Here is a 14,503-nt window from a genome sequence, read left to right as displayed (position 1 = left end):
TTGAAATGGAGTGTTGCTGTGTTGCCCAGGCTGGAGTGCAGTGGCAGGATCTTGGCTCACTACAAGCTCCTCCCGGGTTCACGCCATTCTTCTGCTTCAGCCTCCCAAGTAGCTGGGACTACAGGGGCCTGCCACCACGCCTGGCTAATTTTTTTGTGTTTTTAGTAGAGACATGGTTTCACCATGTTAGCTAGGATGGTCTTGATCTCCTAACCTTGTGATCTGCCTGCCTCGGCCTCCCAAAGTGCTGGGATTACAGACGGGAGCCACCATGCCTGGCTGAAAAAGATAATGGTGTTCCTAAGCTTTCATGAGGCTGGTTCACTTGAAGATAGTTTAGGTTAAAAGCTTGGTGTGACTTGGGTTTAACTCAGGGTGTGGAAACTGATTTAGCAGGGTAATTTTACATAATAAGTTAATTGTTTTTGTTTGTTTGTTTGTTTGTTTTGTTTTTGAGGCAGCTTATCACTCTGGCCAGGCGGCCTCCACCTCCTGGATTGAAGTGATTCTCCTGCCTCAGCCTCCTGAGTAGCTGGGGCTACAGGCGCGTGACTATGCCCACTCATTTTTGTATTTTTCGTAGAGATGGGGTTTCACCATGTTGGCCAGGATAGTCTCGATCCTTTGACCTCGTGATCTACCTGACTCAGCCTTCCAAAGTGTTGGGATTACAGGCATGAGCCACCACGACTGGCCAGTTTTTAGGTTTTATTATCCGTAAAACTTTAAAATATTTTATAAAAACTGTGTATTTATGTTTATAAACATGTTTCACTTAGCGTACATAATTCTAAAGATTCAGTATTTTTGTTTTGTTTTGTTTTTTGAGACAGTCTCACTCTGTCACCCAGGCTCTACTAACTTTTGTATTTTACCGAGACAGGGTTTCACCATTTGGCCAGAATGGTCTTGATCTCTTGACCCCATGATCCACCTGCCTCGACCTCCCAAAGTTCTGGAATTATAGGCTTAAGCCACCACACCCAGATTGAGTATTTTTATTACTTGTTTTTCATCCAGGAAATTGAAGCACAAAGAGAGAAGTTCAGTATGTTTGCTGAAAGCACACAGAGAATAAGAGTAAAAACCCAGATTGATATCAATACAGTCCAAAGACCATGTTCTTTCATATTCTGTGATGCTCATTCATAAGCAGAGGCACGAAAATTGTCAGGATATGTGCTCTATCCAAAGAACAAGAGGAGTGGACCTGTGTAATTTAGAAAGAACTACAGCTTTATTTGCTAGAGTTGTAAATGAAGGAATCACTTATTACAAATATGACTCAATTTCTGATTCTATATATTTTTTTCTCTCTAGCAATGTAACACACACCCGTTTGACAATGAGGTAAAAGATAAGGAATACAAGCCCCACAGCATCCCCCTTAGACAGTCTGTGCAGCCTTCAAAGTTCAGCAGCTACAGTCGACGGGCAAAAAGGCTACAGCCTGATGTGAGTGACTGTTACTCCTGTTATTCTTCCTATAGCTGAGAAGGTTCATCTAGACCTTGATATTGGGGAAAATTCATTGCTGAATGCATTGTTTTACATATGTCTGGTTCAGGATAAAATTAATTGAAATGAATTATTAATTATTTTGTTCATAGGTCTGGTTTATAATATTTTGTCTTTGTAGTTTTGCTTTTATAAATTTTAAAACATATTGCTATTGTTTTAAGTGATGGGGTCTTGCTGTGTTGCTAGGCTATTCTCGAACTCCTAGGCTTAAGTGATTCTCCCTCTACAGCCTTTGGAGTAGCTGGGGTTACAGAGGTTAGCCATCATGCCCGGTTATAAGGTATTGTTAATTTCTGTGAATCTTGGAACGATTTTTGCAAAGCACACTGTACAAATCAGTTATTGTTAACTGTTTGTTCTATTCTATGGTCTTCCATGTGATGGTCAGTAGGTGTGACCACAGAGACTCAGGAAAGCAAAGTTTATTATTATCACAGGCCTTAGAGAGGTAGTCACTATATGCTACACAGTGCTAGAGAGGAAAACCTATCTTGGATATGCAGAAGAAGCAGGAATAAGAAAAGCACCTAGGCCATAGCCTATATTGGGTTTACCAAGGGAAAGGCAAGACAGAGCAGGATAAGAAGTATGGGATTGGCTAGTTTGAATAATTTTGGCAGGCTCTAGGCTACAGCAGTATTCCCTAGTTGCCTGACCCTAGAATTAAAGCAGAGGAACTTTGCCTCATGAATTGTATGGGCTGAATAGATAAGGATTAGCTTTGGATTTGTCAGTGAACATATTAAAGACACATTAAAGTCATACTCCTGGGTGAGCCATTTGGTATTTGTAGGAGTAGCTAACCCTGGGAGGACAATCTGTCATAACCAGAAAGATTTAAGATGTTAAAACATCATAATATTCAGAAAATGAAAATACAAACAATATATTTTTAATAACTTTTATATAAGTGTGTTTTCACTGCTCCATATGCAACATTTTCATAAGATTTGGATGTTTTTATTTCTGAAATACCTTAAATAAGGCAATGCTGTGTTATCTTTAGGTGTTTTCTGGATAATTCTAACAATATTTAAATTTTGAGATATTGTAATATTAGAAATTAGACCAAAGTGAGAAATTTTATCTAGTTAAGATTATTGAAATGCAGATGGATTCTGTATTAGTACTTTAGTTCTTTATAGTAAGAATTATGTCTGGAAGAAACTGAATAAGAAAAATGAACATGTAATAACTAGGAAACCAGTAAAATTTGTTTCAAGTTGTAAATACCAGTAAAAGGTCTAAACATTTTTCCAGATAAAATGGATCCTTAGACACTTTTTTGGCAGGGAGAGTTCATTGTCCATTTTGCAGGAAAGGTTTTAAAAATTGTTGGGCCAGGCACAGTGGCTCATGCCTGTAATCCCAGAATTTTAGGAGGCTGGGTTGGGTGGATTACCTGAGGTCTGCAGTTCGAGAACAGCCTGACCCATGTGGTGAAACCCCATCTCTACTAACAATATGAAAATTAGTTGGGTGTGGTCGCAGGCAATTGTAATCCTAGCTTCTCAGGAGGCTGAGACATGAGAATCACTTGAGCCTGGAAGACAGAGATTGCAGTGAGCCAAGATCATGCCACTGCACTCCAGCCTGGGTGACTGAGCAAGACTCTGTCAAAAACAAAACAAAATTTAAAACTGTACAGTGTACAAAAATCGACAGTACTTCCAAAATATAAAGAAAAAAAAAGTTACAAATTCTGCATAAAGCAAGAAAGGAGAAATAAGGACTAACACATCTTTTCTATTTTATGTGTGTTTGTAATTCAAGAATGGGTAGTAGACTGTCCGAAATGTAGAGTAGTATGGTATTACTTTATTCTAAAACAAGCAAATACCAGCTCTTTTAAAAAGTATTTAATGGTTAGAAACAACCTATGTAACATTAATGTAAAATCTATAATGTACATAATACAATATTTTGTGTATAAAATTATATATTGTGCTTAAAAGTTGTAGAAGCACGAAACTGATTGAATCTTTTCTTTTTTATCATAGCTTATTTTCAGGTTTCCTTTTCCAGCAACCCTGATGAATAATAAATCAAAAGTGTTTAACCTCACTTATACATTGAAAATATGAAGTAACCACATATCCCTTTCACATAACTGGTTAGGAAATGGCCAAAATGTGTCAAGGATATGAGGAACTAGGCATTGTGTGCACTCTTTGTAGTAGTGAAGGGTTGTATTAAAATTAAAATTTGAAGTTACTAAAATTTTAAATGTTTACATCCTCCTGCTTAACTTCTGTTAATTGTCTTTTGAGAAGAATAATGCAGCAAGTACATAGGTACTAATGATTTGTGCCCGAGTCTTAATTTATAGACATGATTCAGTAATGGTGAGATGGAGAGGTCAATGCTAAAAGTTTAGTGTTGCTGACTGTTTATTTCCAAATGAGATGTACAACATACCCCACAGAGCCACAGTAATCAGTCAGGAGGTAAAAGGTAAGGTGAAAGGCACAGGTCACAGCCTTTATTGGTATTTCTGTGAGACAGGCAAGGCAGGGCAATCAAATGTCAGAATTGGCTAGTTTGTTAGAATAATTCCAGGGATCTGTGAGGCATAGTGGATGCCGGTAGGTTTTTGGTACATGGCTCTGAGTTGGTTTACAGAAGGGGAAATACTGGTTCTATATGATAGTTAAATAAAGGAAATAGTTAGAGGTTTGGACTCGGGATTGTTTGGTTTATATGGTAAAGGTATAGTTTAGTTTAGCCAGCTCTGAAAGAGCTGGTCTCCCTAGCCCACAAGGTACCCCAGAAATGTCAAAACCATATAAGGTATATAAAATAAAAATTAGATTAATACAGTTAGTTACTTAGCTCTTCAGAATGTCAAAAAGTGGGAAACAGCCTCAATGTTGTATAATTAAAAAGTTAGTTAAATGATTGCTGGAATAGTATTATAATAAGCAATGTATTCTCATAGACGTAATGCAATATACGTTTCTGCTTCCAGAAATTGCCGTGGGAATAAAAAAAAAGCATAAAATATGTTACTGTGTCTCTCTGTGTATACATGTATGTTTATATATGTAAATAGAAGAAAACTTACCTCTGTATAGAAAATTTGTAAGAATAAAGCTTTAAAATAAACGGAAAATGTAATAGAGCTTAATTTCAAAATATAACAAATTATTTTAAACAATGATAAAATATATTTTACAGTGTCCTCTAAGAAGAGACAAGTGCTGAAAATGGTATATAATATATGTGGCATATGATTTGTATTTTGATACTTAATGAGTTTCCATTTTCCCAGGTTTGTGATTATATTGTGGTCTGAAAGCAGTTATGATTCTAATGATATGAGTTTAAATGGAATAGAATTTTTCCTGTCTTAACTGTTTCCATCTTGAACTCAGTTGGAGAGGGGGGCTTATTTTTAATTACAAAATTCTCTGTTGTAAGGTATAAATTTCTGACATTTAAGCTTCACTAGCCTTGGAAGCCTTGGATTATTTTGTCATTTTTTTCATAACATGAAAAAAGTTGAGGAAATTCATTACTTTCCAAATTTATCCATTTGCTCCTACCTGGCCATACCACACTCACAGTAAAAATGTGGTTAATAAACATTCAAAAATGGATAAAGGATGTTAGTTGATTTTAGCCCATCTGACTTGTCCAGACCTTGCCTATAAAGTATTTATACCTGCATAAGTAAAGCTAACTTCGTTGTTTGAATCTTTTTTAAAACAGCCAGAGCCTACAGAGGAGGACATTGAGAAGCATCCAGAGCTAAAGAAGTTACAGATATATGGGCCAGGTCCCAAAATGATGGGCTTGGGCCTTATGGCTAAGGATAAGGATAAGACTGTGCATAAGAAAGGTGAGGAACTTTAACAGATTGGGGAAGTGTGAGGGGTAAAATAGTAAAGTTTCATGGGAGAAATAGTTTGGTAATCTTGATGCAGGAGAGGATTGGTTTCATAGTTGTTTTTTACTTCCCTAGTCACATGCCCCCCAACTGTTACGGTGAAGGATGAGCAAAGTGGAGGTGGGAACGTGTCATCAACATTGCTCAAGCAGCACTTGAGCCTAGAGCCCTGCACTAAGACAACCATGCAACTTCGAAAGAATCACAGCAGTGCCCAGTTTGTAAGGACTCATGATTTTGTAATATTCTACTTTGAACCGTCAAGATTATATTGAACCTAAAATGAATTCATCATACTTTTCTTTTTTTCTTCCTTCTTTCTTCTTATTTATGAGCCCTTTTATCTGAAGAGACGGGTGGCTAGAAATGGGAGGAAATGTTTTCAAGATAGCTAAAGTCAAAAGCAAAATTTTTATGTCTTTTTAGATAGAACTTTTCACCAAACTATACTCTGTTTTTCAACTCTATTAGCATTTTCTGAACTTTTACAGCTTAATATAGGAGATAATGTGATCCAATATAAATTATGTTAAAGAGCTGTTTATTTGTTTTTGGCAAATTCCTCCAGACTCTCAAATCATCACATTTCATATAGTAGTGACAGTTTTCTATTATCTTCTTTTACTTTTGTCCCTTGTATGTTTACATCTTCTTTTATTCTTTCTACATCTCACTTGGAAGATTTTTATAATGTCTTACATATTTAAGTCTGCACTACAAGAAAAAAAAAAAGACAAAAATTCCTACCTTCCTCCTTACTCTTTAGCTAATCTCACCCTGTTTTGATAATTTTTGTTTGCCTTTCCTTTATGTAAATGATGTTTCCAGAAATTTTGTTCTCAAACAGACTTCTGTTTTGAGCTGCAAATTCCTGTGTTTCTCTTAGTCATTTCCACCTGATGATTGGGAGATCATGTTTACTACCACTGTCCTGTTCCCACTTGTCTCACTGTTTTGCATTTTATAGACACAAGGTAGAGCTGTCATCAGTCTGGAAGTGTAGGAGTCATTGATCACTACTTTCTAACCCTTACAGCTAGTAGTTAACTTCATTCCATTGCTTTTGTTTTTATTTCTGTGTATCACCCATACACAAAAATATCTGGATTACTTTTACTTGTTCGTGTACTTTCAATTAATCACCTCTTTTGTATTGGCTTCTTCTTTTAGTGGTTCAAAAAATGCATTTATATGGTTCTATTAATGCTCACGCTTGTGTTCTATTAAGTGTAGTTTTGTTAGGCATAGCTTTTTTTCTATCTGTTTTACCATTCAACTTTTGGTAGTTACCAATTTTTGGCTATTTCAAGTAATTCTGTGGATATTAAAGTATATGTTTCTAGGTAACGTATGTAGACATTTCTGTTACCTAGATAGACAGGATAGAATTGCTGTGACTGAGACTATGTATATTTTCACTAGTGGATTATTGTCAGACTGTTTTTACAAATGATTGACGAGTTTATCAGCTAGTATTGGATGCCAGTTCTGGTTACCACATGTCCTCACTAACACTTAGAATTGACAGTTTTGTTTTCATTTTAGCCATTCTGGGAGGTGTGTAGTATTTCATTGTAATTTTTATTTGCATTTCCCTGGTTTACAGTTTTTTATATTGAGCATCTTTCATAAGTTTAAAAGATTTTTATTTTATGAAACCTTTTCCTGATAATTCTGTTGAATTTTTTTCTTTTTTTCTGAGATGGAATCTCGCTCTCGCCCAGGCTGGACTGCACTGGTGCGCTCTCAGCTCACTGCAACCTCCGCTTCCAGGGTTCAAGCAATTCTTCTGCCTCAGCCTCCCAAGTAGCTGGGTCTATAGGTGCAAGCCGCCACACCCTGCTAGTTTTTTTTTTTTATTTTAGTAGAGATGAGGTTTGACCTTGTTGTCCAGGCTGGTCGTGAACTCCTGAGCTCAAGCAATCTGCCCACCTTGGCCTCTCAAAGTGCTGGGATTACAAGCTTGAGCCACCGCACCTGGCCTCTTATGTTTATAAATATTCTGATTTGTCATATGCATGTGTGTATATGCGTGCATATGTATGTGTATATATGCATGTATATATGTATATATACACATATAATTTGTGTGTGTATGTTTGTGTGTATATATATTTAAAAATATATTTATATTTTCACACAGTTTCTTCTGCTCTTGAGTTATCTTTAAAATTTTCTCTTTATTGATCAGTTTACTTCTAGATTCTTGTAGAAAAGCCCATCCTACTTATTGAAGGTAATTTTTTCAAAATGTAAGTGTACCCTGCTAAAAATCTTACCACTGCGTTTTCTTTTTAAACTGGTAATTATTACTAGATTTTTTTCAATAGTATGTAAGAATCAAGTTATTTAGCCTTTGCTTCATGTTTCTCTTCTGTGACATACTACTTGAGTGACTATTTATAATTCATCATCTAATCTAAGATAACCCTTTATAATGAAAGTATATGTCTATCAAACTTTTCAACAGAGGAACAACTATAACTGGATATTCGGTCACTTGACCTTTTTATGTTCAACTTGCCCTCTGTGCCAGATAAATTTTTAACTATGTAATTCTCTGATCTATGCTGCTTTATACCTTTATGATTTTTGTTTACGCCGTTGAACCTCTATAAAAAGTCTACTTTGCCCCCATGGTTTCTTTATTAACTTACTGTATTATAGTGTAATTATTTCCTGTCATAGTTTGCACTAGGTAGTAAGCTCATAAATACAACACTGTATAGTTATTGACTAATGATAGATGTTCATGAATGGTCTAGAAACCTGCGATAAGGTGTCAGGGAACAAGCAGCTAAATTTTTTACTTTTTTTTTTTTTTTGGTAGATTGACTCATATATTTGCCAAGTATGCTCCCGTGGGGATGAAGATGATAAGCTTCTTTTCTGTGATGGCTGTGATGACAATTACCACATCTTCTGCTTGTTACCACCCCTTCCTGAAATCCCCAGAGGCATCTGGAGGTGCCCAAAATGTATCTTGGCGGTAAGATCTGTCTGTCACAGATGCTTTATTTTTGGTTGGTGATTTTCTGTAATCTCCCCTTCTGGGTTTTGGGAAGGTAGTTTCTGCCCTTTTATAAGTTAATATTTGTGTTAGGTTTTGATTAAGCTATCAGTGAGCTACTATACAAGAACGATTGAACACACTAACTCTAGAATGATAGAGACTTGACTGAACCAGAGGCAAGGGACTATAATTCAAATGGCATGAAGCATGTAAGGAAAGATTATAAAATAATGTTTAATACCTACTGAAGAAACAAACCTACCTGGAAACATATGAAAATGCAGAATTATTGCATGAGATATTGAATGTAACATGAAAAATTTATCTCCCCTTAGCTCTCCTGTTTTTTTGGATCTTTATTCCCTTTGTCTTGCTGAAATATATTTTATTTCAGGAGTGTAAACAGCCTCCTGAAGCTTTTGGATTTGAACAGGCTACCCAGGAGTACAGTTTGCAGAGTTTTGGTGAAATGGCTGATTCCTTCAAGTCCGACTACTTCAACATGCCTGTACATGTATGTGATCTGAGGGCTGGACTATAGGGATTCTGTTGTGGTAGTCTTAGTTCTCATGGAGACATGAGTCCAAAGTATAGTGGGCTATGATAACCTTTTACATGTGTTTTCACAGATGGTGCCTACAGAACTTGTAGAGAAGGAATTCTGGAGGCTGGTGAGCAGCATTGAGGAAGACGTGACAGTTGAATATGGAGCTGATATTCATTCCAAAGAATTTGGCAGTGGCTTTCCTGTCAGCAATAGCAAACAAAACTTATCTCCTGAGGAGAAGGTAATACGGTTGGTAGTTCATGTTAACATTAACTAGGGAAACTCATTTTAGCATGTAAAATTACTTTCCTAGGTTCTCCCACACAGTGTTGTCTTCACATATTTCGGATAATAATGAGGTTTGATGATACTGGTTCATGATCTGTCAGTGAACCGGAATATGGACAGTCATCGTATTTTTTTTCTCTTGAAACTCTGATGGAGATAGATAAAAGGAACAGTATAAATCTTGATATTATCAATGAAGAGCTATAGTGTTCCTTCACCTTTCCTTAAATCTAAATATTGGAAGCTTACCATCTTTTTATGAAAAGCAAGTACTATGACCAGCTTATTTTGAAATATTTGGAAGGGCGGAAAGAAGTATCTTTGTTAAGTGTATCAATTTGTGTTCATGTCGAACATACGGAGTAATGCAGAAACCACTGATTTCATTCATTACAAAGTGATTTCTTGTATTAGTCAAAGAAACCCATACAGCCATCCTAAATTCTGACTCATCACATTTACATTTCTCCTGTAGTGGAGAACCAAAAAAAATAATGCCTGAAGTAACATAATTTGGGGAGAGAAAGCTAAAATGTAGCCGTCCTTATGCATTATTTGAACATTTGAGAAATTAATTCTATTTCCTGTTTTACCATGTTGGCCAGAACCAAAAGAATTAGTATTTGGCATTGTATATAGATTAGTCTTACAAGAGGGTTGATCCAGACAGAAAAAATAGTGGTTTGAGGATAAACTTAGCTAATAGCTGTGACTAACATTTTTAGGAAGTCTTACTCTGATTTTTCTGTATATATACTGTTTGTTCATGGAGATGTCTGTATCTGGATAAGCGCTATTTTATAGTCGGTCATATGCTGCATAACATTTTGAGTTTAATAAAGGAGCAATACTGTACTTTCACTATATCTTTTCTGTGTTTAGAGGCACAGATACTTAAACCATTGTGTTACATGGCCTATAATATTCAGTACAATAGTGTCGCACTAATTTGTAGCCTAGGAGCAATAGTTATATACCATATAGCGTAGGTATGTAGTAGATTGTTTCTTCTTGGTTTGTGTGAGTATACTCTATGACGTTCAAAAAAGGACAAAATTTACCTCTTTTGTTAAGAGATGTGTAGCTGAGTATGATAGTGCTTAAAAGTCTTACAGATAGTTTGGTTATAGTTCTTAAAATAGAAGTAAGTTAAAATTACTGAGGGATTGAAACTATAAATTAAGTAATTGGAAGGCAATCACCTATAGCCTCCATTGGTAACTTTGGTCTGTTTCTAATTCCCTTTTTGAAACAACCAAAAAACAAATTGTATTTTGAAGCCATAGACAAGTCCTTTTGTCGGTATAAAGCATGGTATTAAGTAATATCCCTGAGCTAACTTTTGAACATAAGAATTGAAGTTTTGTGAGATAATATCTCTCCACAGGCTTTTCTGCAAGTCATACCTCCCTCTTTCTCTCCACTAACACCTAAATGTTCCACCGTCATGGGTTTGTCATAATAAAAAAAAGTGTAGTGTTTGATTACATATGTATGTATTTTTAAAAAGAATATTAATTTTCAAGCTTTGCTAATGTTACGTTGTGTGTTCTCTGACTTGTTCTGTCAGTATTGTGTTAGGAAAATTCATTTATATTGTTGCTCATAGCTTTAAATTATCTGTTTTTTCACTATTATATAATATTGCATGCTGGGATTACATCTCATTTATCTTTCTTTCTGTGGATTGCTTCTGGTGTTTAGCTGTTACTAACAGTGTATGAGCATTGTTTTACAGGTCTCCTGAAACAACAGTTTCTAGGTTCTATGTTTAGAAGTGGAATTGAACGATACTCTGAATTGTTTTACAAAAGGATTCTGACAGGTTACACTGAAACTAATGAGAGAACTGGTCATCCATATGTTTAACAGAGCACTTCATACTGTTACCTACTTTTGTGGGTATGATATGTTCCCACGTAGCACTATTTCATTGATTACTAAGGTCAAACACTTTCCATTAGCTTATTCCAATGGCAAGCCTTTAAGAGCATCAGATTATCCCATCTGCTAAATTATTGGACACACCATTTATGCTTAACTAATACATATATATGTGTATAGATATTTGAGTATATGCAGAATATTTGTATTAACCCCTTTCATAATGAATTTGTACTGGTATTAATTTTTTAACTTTTATAAAACAAATAAATACTTTGGTCTCTATACTGCCCCTCAGTCCCGTTCCTGCTAGTTTCCTTTGGATCTTAGATCTAGTTTATCTTTCTGTATACATAGGCTTTAAATGTTTAACTTGTAACTAATGCAGAATTGATTTTTTTAATCCAGTGAGTTTTTATTTTTTAATTAGTTAATTTTCATTTATTGTGACTGATGATTGCATCCATTTTTTGCTATCTTATTTTGAACTTAGTTTCTGCTGCCTTTTCTGTTATCTTTTTTTTGCCTTTCTTATTCCATTTTAGCCACTTGTAAGTTTAGCAACTTTTGTATGCTAGTTTTAATACTATTTTATTTTATTTCATTTTATTTATTTATTTTTTTTTGAGACGCAGTCTCGCTGTGTTGCCCAGGCTGGAGTGCAGTGGCATGATCTTCCCTCACTGCAACCTCCACCTCCCAGGTTCAAGCAATTCTCCTGCCTCTCAGCCTCCCAAGTAGCTGGGATTACAGGCGTCCACCACCACGCCCAGCTAATTTTGTGTATTTTTAGTGGAGATGGGGTTTCGCCATGTTAGCCAGGCTGGTCTCGAACTCCTGACCCCAGGTGATCCACCCACCTGGGCCTCCCAAAGTGCTGGGATTACAGGCGTGAGCCACGGTACCCGGCCTAATACTTTATTTTACATATAACCTAACATTTAATTTTTTTTTTACTTCTCCCAAGTAATATTAGACTATATAACTTACTCTTCAGTTCTCTTCTGACCTATAAAATTTTTGTGCATGTTTTTAAAGCTTTTTGCTCAACAAAATGGATGCTGTTTTTGTTTTTATACTGCATATAGATTTATCCACACATGATTTTTTCTTTTGATTATTTGAAATTCTTGCAACCATTTTCTTTGTTGCTGAAGTAAATTCTTTAGAAATTTCTTAAAAAGCCCAGGCGCAGTGGCTCACGCCTGTAATCTCAGCACTTTGGGAGGCCGAGGCAGGTGGATCACGAGGTCAGGAAATCAAGACCATCCTGGCTAACACAGTGAAACCATGTCTCTATTAAAAATACAAAAAATTAGCCAGGCGTGGTGGCGGGCACCTGTAGTCACAGCTGTTAGGGAGGCTGAGGTGGAAGAGTGGCATGAACTTGGGAGGCAGAGCTTGCAGTGAGCCGAGATCGCACCATTGCAGTCCAGCCTGGGTGACAGCGTGAATCTCTGCCCAGAAAAGAAAAAAGAAAAAAAGACATTTATTGAACAGAGGCATTTGTGAATTTTTATTCTTATAAAGGTATTTCTCTGTATATATACGGATGTGGTTTGATAATTGTCTTTTCACAGTACATTAGAAATCTGTTTTGGCTTTTGACAAGTCAATTCTGAATCTTACATTAATTTGTAGTAGTCTATTTTGCTTTTTCTATTTGACTGCTATAATATCTCTTTTAGTGTCTTGCAAGTTTTCTTGATGTGTGGAATGTGACTTTTTACTTAATATTTCTGGGAATAGATAGGAATTCTCAAACTTGAGAATTCAGCTTTTACCACTTCTGAAAAATTCTTGGTCATCAACTTTTACAGTCTGTAATTTATTTCTCCTGTTAGCTAGAACCTTACTGTTCTAAGGTTCTCTTGTATGTGTTTCTTCACCTTTCATTTTTTTTTAATTCTTTTGCTGCTGTTGTCTTTTAAGTAACTTACTTAAAGCAACTTAAAAATGTACCAGTTTTTAAAATACCTAATCTATTAAACAACTTAGTTTATAATTTTTAATGTTATGTTTTTATCTTTAGAATTTCTGATTATTTTTCAGACTTTCCTAGTTAATATTGAAAACCTTTTTCTGCTCATACTTCTTTTATCCTCTTATTTAAATTAAACTGATTTTATCTTCAACACCTAGTTATTATAGCATATTCTGAGAACTAATTATAGCTTGATGTTTTCTCAACAAATTTTTACTCATTTTACAACCCCCGCTCCATATTTTATGGCTTTGATTTAATTAGTGTTTTTCGTTGCTGTTGTTTTTGTTTTCTGATGAACTTGTATTTCTTTGAACAACATGTATGGGAATTTTTTCAGAAACCTAGATTTTAATGTCCAGCTACAGAATAGACTGTTTCTGTTTAATGTTAAGGATTCCCTTAAGACGATAAAAAATTTTTAGCTTCACATTTCCAAGTAAATGTGAATAGTTGTGTTTTCAAGTAAATATGAATTCTTGTGTGGATGGCTGATAGATAAGAACTCTTAGGAGTATCTTTCCTTTTCTTCTTGTGGAAACAGTACCAAGATAAGGAAAGTATTTAATATCTGTTTCTTCAGGATGTTTTTCACCTCCTTCAGTTTTATAGCTAAAAGGATAATAGTACTGTCACGTTGTAAGTTAAAGACCCTAATATGACCTTCTTTGGAAGCTCCAAATTTTCTCTTTTATGGTTGACCCGAATTGTCATCAGTTTCAGAACTTTAATTTGTACATGTTATTTCTTAGTGTTATTCTCTGAGGATTTTCCTTATTTTCTAAGCAGCTGAGCCAAAACATTTAAAAAATACATTTTCTTATCTAGCATGTTGAGGTCCTTTGTGATTCCTCTGAACGTCTAACCACAATGTAGTTGAAAATTGAAGTTGTATGTATTAAACTTGTAATTCAGAAGTTTTTGGAACTATTGTTTTACAATACTGCAGATAAGTATAATCATATAATTTTCTTAGTTTGTATATTTAGCTTTTTTTGGAATTTTTTTCAAATATATTCCTGTCATGTTAATTATTTCAAATAATAAAACATACTGAACACATGATACTTTTATCAAAAGAAATATAATATGGCCTTTTATTTGACCAAAAATTCTCCTATTATTCTGTAGTTTATTTATTTATTTTTTAATTATACATTAAGTTCTGGGTGCATGTGCAGAATGTGCAGGTTTGTTACATAGGTATGCATGTGCCATGGTGGTTTGCTGCACTCATCAATCTGTGATCTACCTACCTTAGGTATTTTCCCTAATGCTGTCCCTCCCCTAGTCCCCCAGCCCTGACAGGCCCCCCAGCCCTGACAGACAGATGTTCCCTGCCCTGTGTCTATGTGTTCTCATTGTTTAACTCCCACT

General features: G+C 35.4%; 1 protein-coding gene across 14 annotated transcripts in view; it reads left to right on the top strand.

The window, feature by feature from the left end:
* The window catches only part of KDM5D (lysine demethylase 5D), a 40,862-nt gene that overhangs the window by 3,744 nt on the left and 22,615 nt on the right, over nt 1–14,503 (top strand). For 10 of the 14 annotated variants that reach the window (NM_001146706.2, XM_047442764.1, XM_005262561.4 and 7 more), the window contains 6 exons: nt 1,321–1,455; nt 5,233–5,362; nt 5,486–5,631; nt 8,241–8,399; nt 8,818–8,937; nt 9,053–9,211. In NM_001146706.2, coding sequence (NP_001140178.1) covers nt 1,321–1,455; nt 5,233–5,362; nt 5,486–5,631; nt 8,241–8,399; nt 8,818–8,937; nt 9,053–9,211 — 849 coding nt within the window. The remainder of the gene's footprint in view (nt 1–1,320; nt 1,456–5,232; nt 5,363–5,485; nt 5,632–8,240; nt 8,400–8,817; nt 8,938–9,052; nt 9,212–14,503) is intronic. The other 4 variants (XM_047442766.1, XM_047442765.1, XM_047442763.1 and 1 more) reach the window with 1 other exon arrangement.

The sequence above is a fragment of the Homo sapiens genome, chromosome Y (genome assembly GCF_000001405.40).
Source record: "Homo sapiens chromosome Y, GRCh38.p14 Primary Assembly".
NCBI classification, from domain to species: domain Eukaryota; kingdom Metazoa; phylum Chordata; class Mammalia; order Primates; family Hominidae; genus Homo; species Homo sapiens.
Note: the sequence above shows the minus strand (reverse complement) of the source record. Positions and strands in the feature narration are given on the sequence as shown.